The 18,635-nt window shown below is 43.8% G+C and overlaps 1 protein-coding gene across 15 annotated transcripts in view, besides 2 other annotated features; it reads right to left on the minus strand.

The window, feature by feature from the left end:
• The window catches only part of CIT (citron rho-interacting serine/threonine kinase), a 191,530-nt gene that overhangs the window by 63,731 nt on the left and 109,164 nt on the right, over positions 1–18,635 (minus strand). For all 15 annotated transcript variants that reach the window (XM_011537788.2, XM_011537787.2, XM_047428134.1 and 12 more), the window contains 5 exons: positions 17,566–17,661; positions 11,418–11,534; positions 9,070–9,179; positions 7,850–8,024; positions 2,529–2,726 (listed from right to left, as the gene is read on the minus strand). In XM_011537788.2, the coding sequence (XP_011536090.1) occupies positions 2,529–2,726; positions 7,850–8,024; positions 9,070–9,179; positions 11,418–11,534; positions 17,566–17,661 (696 nt within the window). The remainder of the gene's footprint in view (positions 1–2,528; positions 2,727–7,849; positions 8,025–9,069; positions 9,180–11,417; positions 11,535–17,565; positions 17,662–18,635) is intronic.
• Positions 4,841–5,024: a silencer, noted in NCBI's record as "fragment chr12:120192166-120192349 (GRCh37/hg19 assembly coordinates)". NCBI's record gives its function as "represses an EF-1alpha promoter that drives an FKBP-Casp9 reporter gene in an ReSE screen in K562 erythroleukemia cells {active_cell/tissue: K562}" and the evidence as "EXISTENCE:reporter gene assay evidence [ECO:0000049][PMID:32094911]".
• Positions 10,478–10,664: a silencer, noted in NCBI's record as "fragment chr12:120197803-120197989 (GRCh37/hg19 assembly coordinates)". NCBI's record gives its function as "represses an EF-1alpha promoter that drives an FKBP-Casp9 reporter gene in an ReSE screen in K562 erythroleukemia cells {active_cell/tissue: K562}" and the evidence as "EXISTENCE:reporter gene assay evidence [ECO:0000049][PMID:32094911]".

Genomic DNA, 18,635 nt, shown 5'->3' on the forward strand with positions numbered 1-18,635 from the left:
GGGGGAAGGAAAAGCCCACAGCCTTGAAACTGAATGGAAGCAAATGGAAATGGAGTTTGGATTTCCGTATGATGGGTTTGCAAACAGCTGTTGGAGGAAGGCACTTCTGCCATCATTTGAAGAAGCCCTGTTTTTTCCACAGCATCTTCATCTGCAAAAGCAACAGAGCCCTAGTTTCTAAACCAAGGGAGGTTTGTTTCCTTATTTTTTTTTTTAAGAAGATGCTTTGAGGCAGTGATCTCATCTAACTAAATTAAGTCGTGACTTGCTGCTGTGCTCAGCTTCCAGCAGCCATCAGACACAGCACATTCCAACCAGCAGCAAGAAAGGATTTAAAGGACTAATTTCCCCATAGATAAAGAGCAGTGACACGTGCTCTATTTTATGCCCTCTTCCTTCCAAACAGGGCCAGGATAAGATACACAGTCACCCCTCCTTCCCAATTCCAACAGAGCAGCAAGATAAATGTGTCCTTCTCGGCTGCTCTGAAATAAACGGATTTGAGGAATTACAGACCAATCCCCTGGGGAGAAAAAGCTAAAGACACAGCATTGGGCCCATAGCAAGGGCTTATTAAATATGGATTAAATTGCTGATGTCTCTTTTTCTTTCAGAGGTTGGGTATAGGTACAGGAGGAAAATATTAATATACATTGCGTTAAATATAATAGTGGTTGAAATTTAGGTGCCTCCCTTTAAAAGCTAAGAAATGTTATCTGTCTCTCTCCACCCACCCAACTCCCAACTCCAGCAAGTCTATAAGCCTTCTTGGCATGAACTCTTATATATCAACTTCATTCCTAGCTCCATTTTTTCTTCTACAGACTTATTTTCTCTTTGCCTTTTGTTTCTTATTTTGTTCTGTTTTACTGTGTTGCATCTTTCCAAGTGGTTTTCAGTCCACTGTGAAACAAGACAGTATACACAAAGACATACTGTGGTTATTTTTTGCCAAAGCAAATTTTGGGGGCATGATGTGGCATCATTTAATGAGTGTTCTCATAGAGACTATGGAACCTAAATGTGCAGTCAATATCTGAACTTGGTGTAAGTCCTAGAAAATCTAGGATGCACAAACATACTGGAAGCCACTAAACCTTGGACTGGTCCTATACAGACCCTGGCACTGTCAGATCACATTCCCAGTTTGGTTCAGATACTGGGATCCCCAAACCCAACAATGGGCAATAACTTCTAAGAATGAAACTACGTTAAATATATATAGATATAGATAGATAGATAGATAGATAGATAGATAGATAGATAGATAGATAGAGATATAGAGATGTACACGTGCATTACATCGAGGTAAAGTGTAAGCAATGAATGTACATGGCCATTCATTCCACGGAAGTAACCCCAATCAAAGAGAGGTTTAGAGATGTTCACTGACGGAAATGGGGACAGCATCTAAGTTGAGTCAGAATGAATAAGGTACCTATTTAGGTGGCTTATTAAAAAAACACTAAACCCAATCAGCTGTATTGTGACTGGCCCACAGGAGAGGGCACCCTGACCAGCAGGCAGGTGTGTGCCTGTCTGCTTGGCGGGTACAGTATGATACTATGAGAAATGTATGAGCTTGGCTGACACCAGCCATTAAAATTCATTTGGCCTTCTATGCTCACAGTCTAGGTCCTCCGGGGATCCTTCCAAGATTAACGGGATTTTCTAAGTATACTTCCCTGAATGGGAAAAAGAAAATGTGAAGATTGGCCACCCAGAGTACCCTAGTCAACTTGGCAGTTGCATTTCCCCCTTCAAGTTAAGTTGGCATTTCACATATCAGATTTTTGTGAGTTTTGTTATTCTGGGTCAGTCTCTGTGGGAATGATCAAATGTGGGGAAAATGGCCCCACAAAAAAATCCATTTCAGACTTCTAAAAAGAACTAAGGTTTCAATCCAGTAACACCCCCGCTCCAAGTTCTACCTCCTGAGAATACTCTCCAGCTAAGTAAACTAGTCTCTCAGAAAGAACAAGGAAGCCAGGTCCCTTTTAGAGAAAGAATCTTTCATTCAGTAGAATTTTTCCCATCCAGTTCATACCAGATGCATACAAAAGACAGGAAGCAGAATCTACAGCTTGAAAAAAAAAAAAAGTAACATGAGTAAGGTTAACTAAAACAAAAAGTAAAAATATGGTAGAAAAACTACTATAAGATTATTATTATTATTTTAAATGATTATTGAAAACTAAAGTAGAAAGCCAAGGTAAACAAACTTTTAAACAAACTGAAACCAAACTTTAAAATATAATGATGATTTTTTCAAAAGAAGGAAAATATATAAGTAAAGGAGGAACTATTCAAGATACTAAGAAAAGTTTGAATATAACCAACCAAGCTCATCTACTAGTTCCAATGAAGCAGCAGCCTATGTAAGCCAATTTCCTGGCCACTGAATATCTTTGTGGATCATGTTTTCCCTCCTGGAATTTCTAAGGGTGAGCCAGTATACTCAGTGCCAGTTCCACACTCATCCTAGCTGAGGCCTTTAGCAACCTGAAGATGTTGCTCCCCAGACCTACCGTGAGTGCCTGGATCTCCTCTTCAGCTTCTGCTGTGGTCTCTTCCAGCTCTGTCTTCGCCTGGCGAAGCTGGCTCTCCAGGGCCGCCCGTGCAGCCTGCAGGGCTGTCAACTGTGACTCGCGCTCCTGCAGGGAGAGCTGTAGCTCTGTGAGCTGGCGCTTGAGCTCCAGTTTCTGCTCCTCGTGCTCTAGACTGACCTGAGACAGAGAGAGAGAGAGAAAGAGAGATAAACCCTTGCTTGGTCTGAACAAAAGAGAAAGTGAAGACATGACCTGCTACTCAACCTGCAGCTGAAACCTGGTCTTGGAACCACCTTCTCGGCACTCGATAGAGGAGAGGAAAATGCAACAAAATGGGCCTGAGTTCCATGCATCTCTGAATTCAACAGGAGTAAGAACAGGTAAGGGCTATATCTCCTAACCACCCCTTACTTACATATATTCAAATGCCTGGGAAGACTTTAAAAGGAAAAGCCACACAGCAAGAATCACTAATGAAAATGATGATGATTACTCTTATTAGAAAAACATTTAAAGCTAAGCAGATATAAATAACAACATATTAGTAACAAGGACATCTTTTCAATTCGATTGTAAATGAAACAACAGACTGAATTCTATTTATTTTAAACACGCTTTCTCTGATGTGTCCTCATTAGGTAATCTGCTTTAATGTCACATTAGAAGTTAATCATTCTTCCCTCCATCTGCTCATCCATCCACCTATCTATTCAATCTTTCATCATTCATTTAACAAAAATTTACTCAGCAATTTCTGTGGAAAATGGAATATGGAGATGAAAGACAGTCTCTGCCTTCAAGTGGGGAGAAAAATGAAAACCAACCATGACCATATATCATGGTCAAGTGCAACGGTCAGGACATGTAGGGATGTTGCAGGAATACCGCAGGTGGGTAGAGGAGCTAACTCTGGATCTGTTAAATTCTGTTGAAGAATATGCAGGAGTCAAACAAGCAGGTAAGAGGTGAAAGAAAATTCCAGGCAGGGGAAGCAAGACATCCAAAGGTATGGGGGTGAGGGAGACCACGACACATCTATTGACCTGACAAACATGGACAGTGTGGTCCTAAAGATCAATGTCAAGCAACTCAGAGATGCTTGCTGCCCTCAGAGAGCCTGCTGTCTAAGGGGACTGCCAAGAAGAACACACTGCGATGAGCTATGCCCTGAAAGCCATGGGGATAAAAAGGAGACCTCCAACCCAGCTTCAGAGGGTCGGAGAAGGCTCCTCCCTAGAAAAGGTGGCACCCACATCCCGAAGCCCATAGGGGTGAAGAGAAGAAACACTTGCAAAAGATGTAACCTGCAAAACCAACAGGATTTAGTGGTGAATTTGATGTGGGGCAGAGAACAAAGGACATAAGGGAGTCAAAGATGACTCCCAGCCGGGTGCAATGGCTCACACCTGTAATCCCAGCACTTTGGGAGGCCGAGGTGGGCAGATCACGAGGTCAGGAGTTCGAGACCAGCCTGGCCAGCATGGTGAAACCCCATCTCTACTAAAAATAACAAAAAATTAGCTGGGTGTGGTGGCACACACCTGTAGTACCAGCTACTCAGGAGGCTGAGGCAGGAGAATCACTTGAACCTGGCAGGCAGAGGTTGCAGTGGGCCAAGATTGCGCCATTGTACTCCAGCCTGGGTGACAGAGCGAGACTCTGCCTCAAAAAAAAAAAAAGAAAAGAAAAAAAGATGACTCCCACATTTCTGGACGGGTGAATTACACAAATAGACCATTGCTATGACAGAATAGGAGAGAAAGGGCCAGTCTGAGGCAAAAGATAAGAAATTCAGTCTTAACATGTTGAACTTGAGCCCTGCGGGAGACATCCAAGTGGAGATGTCTAACGTCTACTAATAAGTAGTCTACTAGTAAGACAATGGGTCAGAAACTCAAAAGAAAGGTCTGGATTGGCAACCTGGATCCAGGAGGCCTTAACAAATCAGTGACAGCTGAAGCCATGGCTATTATCTCTCTCTAGTGATGATGGTGATGACGACGATGTCACAGCAGCAAATACGGTCCTCACAACACACTGGGCCCTGAATTAACTCATTTCATTTTCAGAACAACTCACTAAGGGAGGTACTACTATTACCTCCATTTTACAGATAAGCAAACTGTGGCACTGAGAGATTAGGTAACTGAGCAAATGTCACACAGCTATAAAAATCTTTTTAAAAGGCAGGACTGGCATTCAAACCCAGAAAGTCTGGCTCAAGAGTCCATGTAACATGTTGCTGTATTCCTGCAACATCCCTACGTGTCCTGACCATTGCACTTGACCATGTACAGGGTAAACACTGTACCCTTCTGTCTTACTAAAACACCATCAGTCACAGCAGAGTGGACCTCTACTAGCAAGCCTGAAAATGCTTCCGATGCCATTTGGCAAAACCAAGAGAGGCAGGTGACAGTGACTCAAGGGGAGGAGCGGGAGCTGGATGCTATACAATGAAGGAAGAACCCGGGAGCCTGCATCTTTGTGACTCCACACACCTGGCTAGAGAAGAGCTAACGCTGCACACACAAAGTTGGGGGAAGGCCCAGGTCCTTTAAGGCGGATCAAACTCCAGGTGGAGGCCTCTGCCCTCAATCTCAGTAGCAGCATGTGGCCAAAAGAAGAGGGACTGATCTGGTTATATTTAGAGCTAAACTGCAAAACTCCCAGGGAGAATATAGAGCCTGAACCTCTCGTGAAACGTTTGAAGTTTCTCTTACCATCCTTGAGGGGCTGGCTCTACTGATTCAAGTGAAAAACAACAGCTTCCCTGGGACACTTTAATAGCCCAGATGAGCTACAGCAGCAGGGCAGGCTCCTAAGAGGAACATTTGTGCAAAGGGAAGGCAAGAGACAGCCAGTCAAGGCCCCCAAGCTAGAGAAGTCCATCTGGATTGTTTAGACTCAAACTTAAGGGCGAGTCTCCCGTGATCTTGCTGTTAAACTTACAGAAGAGTGAAAGTATAGCCTGGATGATAAAAGTTAAACCATCGCCTAAGGCTTAAGGCTCATGCCTGTAATCCTAGCACTTTGGAGGCCACGGAGGGAGGACTGCTTAAAGCCAGACGTCCTCCTTCTGAGAAATCCTGACCTAAGAAATAATAAAAGAAAAATAAATAAATAAATAAAGCCAGGAGCTCAAGACCAGCCTGGGCAACATAGCAAGACCCCATTGCTAGAAAAAATGAAAATAAAACCAGACACTCCAGGTGAACCTAATGGAGGAGTTCACACCTTGACAACCCCTAAAAAACATGAGATAACACATTGTTACTGTCCCTTGGAGAACTGACTTCATTTTAATACTCCAAGACAAATAAAGACATGCATAAACATGAGTACTACCCAAGGCTTAGACCTCAGACCGCTGTCTGCTTAACAGGACCTTCCTTAAGAAAGATCATCTGCTTTTTGAAGAATTCCATCACAAATATTTGAGCAACTATTTTACATGAGACATTGTATCTTCCCTCCCAGCCTGGGTGTTCAGCTTCCAACAACCACTATCCTGAACTCCAGTTGTGTCTCTGCTGGTGCCAGCGAACCCTGCTGCTAGGCTAAAAGCCCTCGTGTCAGGAACAGGTCTGTCTTGTCGCCACTGTAGACCCAGGCTACAAATTGGCACACAGCAGACATCTGACAAATATACAGTGACTACATAAATGTAACCTTATGGCTTCAATCAACCTCAACATGTCTACAACCCAATTTGTTGTATTTTCCTCCCCAAAACCTGGCCACTCTTCCCAGCCTCCTTATGTTTTTGAAGAGAGCTACCTTTCATCAATCACACCTAAATTTGGTTTTGTCTTTTAATCTCCCACCGTCATTATGAGACAGACCTCTGCCACCAGCACTGGGCCACCATGGCTAAGCTCTGACTAGGTCACGGGGCTGTCATTACATCTTGATAAAGGAGGAATTGCTCTGCTCCCATTTGACAGATGCACAAATTGACACGCTCCCCACAGGACCCTATAAAGGAGATACATTATCACTGACATTTTACAGATGAAGAAACTGAAGCCCAGCAGAGAGATGAGGCAGCTTGCAAAACTAGTAAGAGGTCATAAAACCAGTAAGGAGTGGAGGTGGAATTCTAACCCAGATCCCCATGGCCCAGTCTGTTACCAGAAGGAGGGCCTGGGGTCTAAGTTGTCTATTTTGAACAAAGAATTGGACAAAACGCACAAAGTAACAAAGGAACGAAACACAGGAACGAAGCAGCGAAAGCAGGGATCTATTAAAGCAAGAACGCACTCCACAGGGTGGGAGTGGCCCCAGCAAGTGGCTCAAGGGCCCAGTTACAAAGTTTTCTGGGTTTTAAGTACTCCTTTTGGGGTTCCTATTGGTTACTCCTTATCTGAATAAAGGATTCGGTCTGTGGCTAATTACAGGCTGAGGCGAACTGGTGCCCTATGCAGATGAAGGGATAGTCCCTCCTTGGCCCGCGGCCCATCCAAGGTGCTCTTCCTTTCCATCTGAGCAATGGTGGAAGGTGGGGGGAGGGGGTTGCAGGGAGAGTAGTCTTCCATCTTTTGGAGCATTGCAGGGAGAGTAGCCTGTTCCATCTTTCACTACTGGGGCGTGGGAAGATGAGGATTTTCCTTTTGGTTCAGCTTTAGGAAGTTTGTGTTAATTGGCCTCAGGTTCCCTGCCTCCAGCCCCACGTGTTTTCCTTTCGATCCAGCTCTGGGAAGTCAGCAGGAATGGGCTTTAGGTTCCCTGCCCACAGAACCTGGTGTTTTCTCTTTTAGAAAGCTAGCACAAATTGGCCAGGCATGGTGGCTCACGCCTGTAACCCCAGCACTTTGGGAAGCTGAGGCGGGTGGATCACTTGAGGTCAGAAGTTCAAGACCAGTCTGGTCAACATGGCAAAACCCTGTCTCTACAAAAATTGGCTGGGTGTGGTGCCAGGCGCCTGTAGTCCCAGCTACTCGAGAAGCTGAGGCACGAGAATCACTTGAACCCAGGAGGCGGAGGCTGCAGTGAACCAAGATCGCACCACTGCACTCCAGCCTGGACAACAGAGCAAGACTCTCTTAAAAAAAAAAAAAAAAGAGGTTAGCACAAGGGCCTCAGATTCCCTGCCATAAACCTTGGTGTTTTTCCTTGATTCAGCATGAATTGGCCTTAGGTTCCTTGCCTCCAGACCCTTTTCTCCTGCCTCAAGTCTGCCCCCTTAACCACCAAGCACAATGTCTCTTGTATAGATATTGATTTGTGCTCGAAAGCTGACTTGTTCAGAGCCCGAATCGCCCAGCAAATCCTCCCAGGAGATGACTCCTCGCTCTCACCTCCCGCAATCTTGTCTCCAGTTCCAGCAGCCGATTCTTGTCACTGTGGTCTTGGTGGCTGATCTTCTCCAGCTGCTCCTCCAGTTTTCGGTTCTGGGCCTCCAACTTCCCAGCCTGTGTCTCCAGGTAAAATTTCTGTTGCCTGAGTTCAGAAATCATCTCTTCTTGGGCCTTCCTGGTGGGGGTGGTGGGAGGATCCAAACAAAATCACAGTCTCATTAGGGTTGAGCCCGTTTCCACGGGAGGTAGACGGACACGGAGTTAGACATGTCTCCTCACTAAGTGGACTAGGGCCATTCCTGGGTTAGCTGTCTCCTGATCTGGCCTCATAAGCATGATCCCGGCATGACGAACGTGGGGACCATTTACTCATCACCACTCAGTGTCAGTCCCTCACATATGGGATTAAGTAAGGTCCAGGAGGATGCAAGAGATACTAACATTTCACTCCTTTGACAGGCCTGTTTATTTCTTCTGTGAGTCTGTGTAGGGACAGAAGGGGGCCTCCTTAGATTAATGTACAAGGGCACCCCAGTAACTCATGAAGGCAGGCCCTGGAGAAAAAGGACTAAGGAGAAAGAATGGTATTCCTTCTAGTTCTCTGCAGATCTCCCTCACCTCTCCAGCAAACTGCTTAGAAGTATCAAAACCTAGAACGACTCAAAGACCCAAAACACAGCCTACTAAGCTGGTTTAGATTAAGATGGGACTGTTTTGGGAGATCTCTGAAGAGAGAAACCTAAGGGGGAAAAAAATCCTGGAGATTCTAATTCTCTGGGGGAAAAGATTCAGCTCAAAGTGCTCCTGGAACACAGCCCTTGCTGAACCCCAAACTTCCTTCCATAGGGTCTAACCTAGTGACAACTAAATGGATGGCCCAACTGGGCACACACAATTTCACCTCTTACTAATTACAGGATGCAAGTCTAGGGAACAAGAACTGCAGCTTTCCACAAGCAAATTATAAATAGCCTCATTAGAGAGAGCAAAACACTCTGTAATGTGATGGTAATTGAAGGCATTTAAGAAAACCCGACTCAAAAGTGGCAGAGTGAGACCACTTAAGACAGGGCAAGATGACGTAAGTATCTGAGGGCTGGGCTGAGCTACAGAAGTCATTCAATCCACTCCAGCTCCATCAAACAGAAGAAGGGAGTTTATGCCACAGGAGAGGAGACCAAAGTGTAATAATGTAGGGCAGTTAGAATTTGAATACTTACATGTTCCTTTGGGTAAAAAGACTGCTATTTGCTGCAAGTTTATTGGCTTCAGACAGTTCCACAATCCTCTGTTCCAGGGATCTGATCTTGGAATCCATAGCATTGATCATCTGAAACACAGGGCACCTATGAAACTTCACACACCAGAACAGGAGTAACAGGGGCAGTGCGGGCCAGGGTAAAAGTTTCATCTGAAATGACGGCAATTTGGCTAGAGGTAACAAGGCACTCAACTAGTCTGTACTCTGAGGATCACAGATGGTACCACTCAAATGGATGGTACTTGGTTGTTTTTTCAGTGATGAAATCTCCCCACACTGGCTAAGTGGCTTGCATTTAAAACAGACATAAGGACCTATTCAAGAACCTAACATCCTGGGAGTAATCAGGCCTTGTTAAACCCCATCTCATCTACATGTGACCTGGGCCTGCAAGTCTCTTAACTCAAATCTGCACATTCGCATTTATCACCACCTCCTCGAGGGTTGTCATTTTCTGAGTGATTCCTTCTCACCCAGCCACCATTGCTCTAGACTCCACAGCAGGGGTCTCCAACCCCAGGGCCACAGAGCAGTACCCCATTACCGGTCTGCCACCTGTTATGAACCAGGCCGCACAGCAGGAGGTGAGCGGCCAGCGAGCGAGCATTACTGCCTGAGCTCTACCTCCTGTGGGATCAGTGGCATTAGATTCTCCTCAGAGTGTGAACCCAATCATGACCTGCGCAAGCGAGGGATCGAGGTTGCGTGCTCCTAATGAGAATCGAATGCCGCCAGCCGGGCGCGGCGGCTTAGCCTGTAATCCCAACACTTTGGGAGGCCAAGGCAGGTGGGTCACCTGAGGTCAGGAATTCCAGACCAGCCTGGCCAACATGGAGAAATGCTGTCTTTACTAAAAATACAAAAATTAGCCAGGTGCAGTGGCACATGACTATAATCCCAGCTACTCGGGAGGCTGAGGCAGGAGAGTCACTTGAACTCGGGAGGTAGAGGTTGCAGTGAGCCGATATTGCGCCACTGCACTCCAGCCTGTGTGACAGAGCAAGACTCCGTCTCAAAAACAAAACAAAACAACAAAAAAATCTAATGCCTTAATGCCTGATAGTCTGAGGTGGTACGGTTTTATCTCAAAACCATCCCCCCACCCCTGTGGAAAAATTGTCTTCCACAAAACCGGTCCCTGGTGCTAAAAAGGTTGGGGACAGCTTCTCTACAGCAAAGTTTCCCCAACTTAAAAAATCATAAGAATTGGGGTGTGGGGGTACTAACTAAAAATTTAATTTCCCAGGATCTCCCCTCAGAGATCCTGATGTGGGGTCGGGCGCGGTGGCTCGTACCTGTAATCCCAGCACTTTGGGAGGCCGAGGTGGGCAGATCACTTGAGGTCAAGAGTTTGAGACTGGCCTGGCCAACATAGTGAAACCCTGTCTCTACTAAAAATACAAAAATTAGCCGGGCACGGTGGCACATGCCTTTAATTCCAGCTACTCGGGAGGCTGAGGCAGGAAAATTACTTGAACCTGGGAGGCGGAGGTTGCAGTGAGCTGAAATCATGCCACTAAACTCCAGCCTGGGTGACAGAGTGAGATTCCATCTCAAAAAAAAAAAAAAAAAAGAGAGAGATTCTGATATGGTAAGTCTTGGTGGAGTGCAGATAAATAAGCACCACAGGTAAACCTTAGGGGCAACAAGTTTCTGAAACAACTGCCTATGTGGATTAGAAAAGAGACAAACAGGCAAGTAAAAAGAAGAGAAGTGTAGGGCCAGGAGTGGTGGCCTGTAATCCCAGCACTTTGAGAGACCAAGATGGGAGGATTGCTTGAGGCCAGAAGTTTGAGACCAGCCTGGGCAACATAGCAAGATCTCGTCTCTACAGAAAACTTAAAAATTAGGTAAGCATGGGGGCATGCACCTGTAGTCTCAGTTACTTGGGAGGCTGAGGTGGAAGGATCACTTGAGCCCAGGAGTTGGAGGCTGCAGTGAGCCATGATTGCACCACCACATTGCAGCCTGGGCTTCAGAGCAAAACCCCACCTCAAAAAAAAAAAAAAGAGCAGGAAGACCAAGAGCCACTGGACATTTTGTCAGGGGCATTTAGAAGGACAGTATTTTAGCAGACAGCAGAACAGCATGAGTTCTTGAAAAACACAAAACTGGCCATCCAGAGCCACCACCTCAGTTGCTTTTAGGAAAGGAAACAGTTTCAGAGAAAGCCTCCTATTACCAACAACTCCACAGGATTCAACAGAAGGAATTTCACCAGGTGAAATAGAGTCTTATCAGGGGTGATTCTTGGCATATTTCAAAAACCCTCCTTTGAACACTGGCTTGGCAACTCCTTCTACCTACCGCCTTCTGTTCGCTGAGAATTTTGCCCTTCTCATGGGCCTCCTCCTCGTGTCTCTGCATCATGTTCTCCAGTGTCTCCTTGTCAGCCAGGTCTTTCTTTATCTGATTGTCCAACACCTACAAAAACAAAAGCAGCAGCAAATGTTCTCAGGAGCCAAGCTGAGGAGGGAAGACTAAACGGGGACACTTGAGAAAATCTAGGAAAGAGGAGAAAAGCAGGGGAGAGGCCCGAGGTCTCCAAATTCTGGGGCAAAGAGAAGGCAAAAACTGGGAGTCCGCTTATCAATCAGGATAAGATTGAAAAGTCAAATATTACCATCCAATGGCAAGTAACAGGTTGACTTGAACCAAGAACTTATTTTAAAATCAGCAGCCCAAAGACCAGAGAGATATATTCAAAATGAGGCAGACTCCAGAATGAGAAGGGAGGAGGAAACAAGATTGCTCTAGATCCAGACCTAGAGAATAAATTTCTTATAATCTGCAGATATTACCTGGGGACAACTTTTTCTTCGCCAGTGCACCCGTAGTTTTCAGAATATTCCTCACTCCTAATTTATACAGATTAATTCTAGATACTCCTGGGCTGTGTGCAAGAGGGAGAGAAGCCGAAGACAGGGGAAGTCTATGTGACCAAGGATGATGCTCAGAAACAACCAGGGACAAGAGGCTTTTGGCCACCAATAACGTAGGTGGATGGTCAACAGATTAAAAAGACAACATAAAAGAAAGAAAAAAATGCCTCTTTCCCTGGTTCTTTCCTCTGATCCAACTAGGGGGAGAAAAAAAAGTCACTGGGAAAAGAAACCTTTCCCAGGGGAAGAGAGATCATGTGTTCTCAGTGCTCAGAATGCCACTGTAAGCACCTACTGTTCCCAAGAGGAAACATAAAACAGTAATGGTATCACCAATCGCCAACTTGATCTAATGTTCTTTGGGGCACACACAGCCCTACGAGTTGCCAAAACAACAAGCAAAAAGGAAGGAAAAAAGAAGACGACATCAGAACATGCCCAAGCCTTTGACCACAACCCTACGTTCCTCACCACAGAGGCTCCATTCGACTTTTCCAAAGAACACCAACAACATCAAGGAGGACAACAGGATCCTGGGAATAAAGCTGAAAGAGCTGGGGTCACAGAGAGGGCTAAAATCTGCCTTTCCAACAATGTCTATTGTGAAAGGACTGTCACAGCTCATGGGGACGACGTCCCTAAAAAGAGCCAGTCAGCGGGGAGGGAGTCCACAGGAGAAAGAAAGGAAAGAACAGATTTCAAAGAGGTCTTTAAACTAGAACTGACTGATGAAAAAAAATAGAATGGAAGTTGGAAGAGAAGACCAAAAGGTGGGAACAGGGTCATGAGAGAAAGGAAGAAGCTCAAAAGGATGAGAAATGGCCCACTCTCTTGGATGTCTGAGCATGATTCTAAAATTATGAGCAAGAACAGGGTAGAATCGAGGGTATGATCATAATTATTACTAAAATGGCCTGACAGAGGCTGGAACAGGAAACACAAAGCAGAACAGGCTAAAAAGAAATGGTTTCATAAAGATTCCAGTAGGGAAGAAAGACAGATCTTTCCCTGACATTCCTTGGGATCTATAAAACAAATTTCTTTCCATCTAGAAGTTAGCAGAGACCACATAATATCTAGACCACATATGCCCTTTATATTTTATGAGGTGCTAAAGCAATGAAATACATTTTCAGGATGCCTCTGCTCAAAATAAGACCTCAACTTTGGTCAAGAAGGATACCAATAAGAGGTAAGTATGAGCTAGAAGGGATAAGCCTCTATCAAGAACGTATGCACTAGGCCAGGCATGGTGGCTCATGCCTCTAACCCCAGCACTTTGGGAGGCTGACACGGGTGGAGATCGCTTGGGGACAGAAGTTTGAGACCAGCCTGGGCAACATAGCAAGACCCCATTTCCACAAAAAGTATAAAAAATAGTAATTAGCTGGGCATGGTGTTGTACACCTGTAATCCCAGCTACTCAGGAGGATAAGATGGGAGGATTGCTTGAGCCCAGGAGTTCGAAGCCTCATTGAGCTATGATCACACTACCACATTCTACCCTGGGTGATGGAGCAAGAACCTGTCTCAAAACAATAAACAGATAAATAAAAGAACATACGGATCTCTCTTAGCTTTCATAGGGTTCAACTGGCAGAAAGATAAACAAGATATATGGGGAAGAAGGGGAGCAAAATGTTTATTTGAAATAAGAGATTCCACTAAAGACATCTAAATCAATTTAAGATAGAATATGGCTTTTGGTAGGAACATCAATATATCACCAAATCATAGAATATGTTTCACAAAAGGTTACTTTCATCATGCAAAGGTGGCTCACTGCAGCCTCAACCTCCTGATCACAAGCGATCCTCCCACCTCAGGCTCCCAAGCAGCTGGGACTACAGATGTGTGCCACCTGCCTGGCTAATTTTTGTATTTTTTGTAGACAAGATGAGAAGGGCGTCTCACTTTGTTACACAGACTGGTCTCGAATCCCTGGACTCAAGCGATCTGCCCACCTTAGCCCCACAAAGTGCTGAAATTACAGATGTGAACCACTGTGCCTGGCCTCCTATATTTCTTTTACTGAAAAACAACCAAAAATAACGCCAGCGGTAAAAGATGCCAGGGTGGTGATGGTGATGATGCTGTGTGAGCATGTACGTGTTAGATTCTCCAAGAAAGGACCACTCAATTCTTTGAGAATACCAACCAAATCAATAACAAGATCATCACAAAAATTGAAATCCCCCTTCAATGTCTGGTTGGAAAAGGGAAGCGACAATATTCAAGATATAATAAACAGCATCTGATTCTCAAGAACATAAGAATGAATTAAAGGCTTGATCCAAATCATCATGAAAATGGGATGTGATTTTAAAGGAAATTGATAGAGCGGCAGCCATTTCTAATAGCATAGTGGGCTACATGTCAGGCCAGCCCTTCTCTTGAAAATGATTTAAAATGCTAGATAAAATATAAAAAACATTTTCCCAAAAGCACCTACAAGTTGGCAAGAGAGTAAGAAATTGCCAAAAACTAAGTAAAACAGAAGCAGGGAGAGGTAAGAAGGGTTTAACCTGAGATATTTTACTGAAACAAATTAACTTAAGTTTCAGTTTTTATAGCCTCAGTGGTCAAGAAAAGGCAGAAATGAAAGCCCCCGACCACCCACCAAGGTGGGCACACATTTCATCCAAGGCCTCAAAGAATTTCCATTAATAATTCTCCAAGGAAAATAAAACAGTCACCATGACAAAGAACCAAGAGAAACAACAGAGCAGAAGCAGACCTTCAAATACTTCACATAGTGGAGTTGTCAGGTACAGATGATAAAATAACTATGCTCAGTACATTTAAAGAAAGAAAAGTTAGGCTTGAAAATGAATGCACAGAACAGAAGATGATTGTCTTAAATAATCTAGCAAACTTGGGAATGACCCAAATAGAATGTCTAGAAGTAAAAAATATAACAACCGAAATTAAAACTCAACAGAAAATTTAAAAATTACCCAGGCGTGGTGGCATGCACCTATAGTCCCAGCTACTCAGGAGGCTGAGGTAGGAGGATTGCTTAAGCCCAGGTTGCAATGAGCTATGACTTGCACCAGTGCACTCCAGCCTGGGTGACAGAGTGAGATCCTGTCTCAAAAAAAAAAAAAAAAGAAAGAAAGAAAAGAAAAAACCTCAATGGAACAGCAGATTAGACACAGCTAAGAAAGAATTTGCAAATTGGGAAATATGTCAGAAGAAACTACCCAAAATGTAGCACAAAGAAACAAAGAAATAGAAAATATTTAAAAAGGCTAAATTGGAGCTGATCTAACTGATGCCCAATCAAATTCTTTTTTATTTTTTTCTTTTTTGAGACAGAGTCTCACTCTGTCACCTAGGCTGGAGTGCAGTGGTGAAATCTTGGCTCACTGCAACCTCTGCTCACTGGGTTCAAGAGATTCTCGTGTCTCAGCCTCCCAAGTAGCTGGGACTACAGGTGCACGCCACCACGCCTGGCTAATTTTTTTGTATTTTTAGTAGAGGCGGGGTTTCACCATGTTGGCCAGGCTGGTCTTGAACTCCTGACCTCAGGTGATCCACCCGCCTCTGCCACCCAAGTGCTGGGATTACAGGCGTGAACCACCGCACCCAGCCCCAATCAAATTCTTAAAAGGAAAAGAGAGAAGGGGGAAGAGACAATATTTGAGATATAATGACCACTAACTTTCTAGAATAAATAAAAAGATATGAATCTACTCAAAAGCCCGGGAGACCCCATCTCTACAAAAAACATTTTTTAAATAGCCAGGTATGGTGTCATGTGCCTATAGTCCCAGCTACTTGGGTGGCTGAGGAGGGAAGATCACTTGAGCCTACTGTGCTGAGCAAGACCATGTCTCTAAATATATATATATTATATATAATATAATATATATTATAATATATATTATATAACATATATATATATTTAGCCCAGTAAATCTTAAGCAGAATAAGATAAGTAAAAAGAAACAGACTTTTTTTTTTTTTTTTTTTGAGACAGGGTCTCTCTCTGTCACCCAGGCTGGAGTGAAGTGGTGCAATCTCGGCTCACTGCAACCTCCGCCTCCCAGGTTCAAGCAATTCTCCCATCCCAGCCTCCTGAGTAGCTGAGACAACAGGTGCGTGCCACCACACCCAGCTAATTTTTGTATTTTTTGTAGAGCCAGGGGTCTCGTCAAGTTGCCTAGGCTAGTCTTGAATTCCTAGACTCAAGTGATTCACCCATCTCGGCCTCCCAAAGTGCTAGGATTATATGCATGAGCCACCACACCTAGCCAAGAAATCCACATTTAGACACAATACAGTAAGCCTCAGAAAAATTAAAGGCAAAGTAAAATTGTAAAGAAAAAGCCAAAGAAAAATCGAGCTGTCACATGATCCAGCAATCCCACTGCTGGAAAGGAAAGAAAAGGAAATCAGTATATCAAAGAGATATCTGCACTCCCATGTTTGCTGCAGTACTATTTACAATAGCTAAGATTTGGAAATGACCCAAGTGTCCATCAGCGGATGAATGGATAAAGAAAATGTGGTATACGGACACATGGCAGGGAACAACACAAACCCTGTCAGCGGGGGTGGGGTGGGGAGAGCATCAGGAAGACAGCAAGAATAGCTAATGCATGCTGGGCTTAAGACCTAGGTGATTGGTTGATCTGTGCAGCCAATCACCATGGCACACGTCGTTTACCTATGTAACAAACCTGCACATCCTGCACATGTACCCCAGAACTTAAAAGTTGAAGGGAAAAAAAAAAGAAAGAAAATGTGGTACAGATACAACAATGGAGTACTATTCAACCATAAAATGGAATGGGATCCAGTCATTTGCAACAACATGGATGGAATTGGAGATCATCATATTAACTGAAATCAGCCAGGCACAGAAGGACAAACATCACATATTCTCACTTATTTGTGGGATCTAAAAATCAACTTAATTAAACTCATGGACATAGAGTATAGAAGGATGGTTAACAGAGGTTGGGAAGCGTAGAAGGGGTTGTAGGGAAGGTAGGGATGGTTAATGGCTGCAAAAAAATAGAATGAACAAGACCTAGTATTTGAGAGTACAGTAGGATGACTACAGTCAATAGTAACTTAATTGTGTATTTTAAAATAACTTAAAGAATGTAATTAGATTATTTGTAACTCAAAGGATAAATGTTTGAGGGGATGGACACCCCATTCTCTATGATGTGCTTATTTCATATTGCATGTCTGTATCAAAACATCTCATGTACCCCATAAATATATACACCTACTATGTACCCACAAAAATTAAAAAAGAAAAAGGATTATAGAAATGATCATGGATTAAATGACAATGAGTTTAAAAAATCAGTTTAAAGATGAAATTGAGATAAATGATGACCACATTTAAAAAAAAAAAAAGGTTTTTTTTTTGGAACTTCAGATTTCCAATCCTTCACATAAGTAACACCCTGAAATCTCTCACCATGGAATAAGGACATTATTCACCCCAAACAGTACTTTGGTCCAGCAAGAAATGGCCACAAGGGCCCAGGAAGAGATGGGAGCTACATGGTACTATAGGAGCAAGGCCAGGGAAGATCAGAAAATGTCTTTACTTTAATCTTTTCCTCATAGTGCTGCTCTTTCTGTTTCAGGTGCACTTCTAGGTGCTGGGCTGAGACTTGGGCCTCCCGATGTTTCTCTTCGAGCTCCTAGACACAAAAGAAAAGACAGTCAGGTGTGCAGAGGGCAGGACACCGCCAATGCACGTTAGACATTCACAGGAAACATGACTTTGGTACAGGTACCACAGGTAACGGTCATCTGGTCCTCCATTACTAGCCTAAGGCTCTTGGGAAGGAAACCACCACGCCTTGGCCCTGGGTTTTCCAAGTCCAAGTATTCGCACACACATACACACATAGCTGGTGGGCTGTAAGGCCTGAGACCACAAATACGTCAGTATGACAGGTCGAACAAAGGCAGCTCTTCATCTTTGCATAGAGAAATAAGAGTAACAAGGCAACACTGGAAAGTTTAGTACATGACAAAGCCCTGACCACTATCTTGAGCCTTAAATGAGAAAAGTCATTTTAATATATGATTATGATTTTTAAAAATACTTTGTATTTTCCTCATTAACAGAATTATTGCTCAAGAACCCTAGCTAAAAAGGAAAACTAATGTTATGATCCAAGCACTTCAAGTTTTGAATGATGATTTTAACTGACTGGTAAGTGGCATATGTGACTATCTGTAGATGTGCATGTGATATAATGTTCATATGATACAATGCAAATGGGGACAAAGACAAACATATAATACACTGATAATAATGACATAAAAATGTACAGACATATTAAAGATTAGAAGAGAATCTGGAGTAATATAAATAGCCTACATTTAATGTTCTCTTAATTCTTTTATTGTTAAGTTTCCAGCTTTTTTTTTTTTTTTTTAGACGGATTTTCACTCTTGTTGCCCAGGCTAGAGTGCACTGGCGCGATCTTGGCTCACTGCAACTTTCACCTCCCAGGTTCAAGCAATTCTCATGTCTCAGTCTCCCAAGTAGCTGGGATTATAGGCATGCGCCACCATGCCCGGCTAATTTTTGTATTTTTAGTAGAGGCGAGGTTTCACCATGTCGGTCAGGCTGGTTTCAAACTCCTGACCTCAGGTGATCCAC

The sequence above is a fragment of the Homo sapiens genome, chromosome 12 (assembly GCF_000001405.40).
Source record: "Homo sapiens chromosome 12, GRCh38.p14 Primary Assembly".
Lineage (NCBI taxonomy): Eukaryota > Metazoa > Chordata > Mammalia > Primates > Hominidae > Homo > Homo sapiens.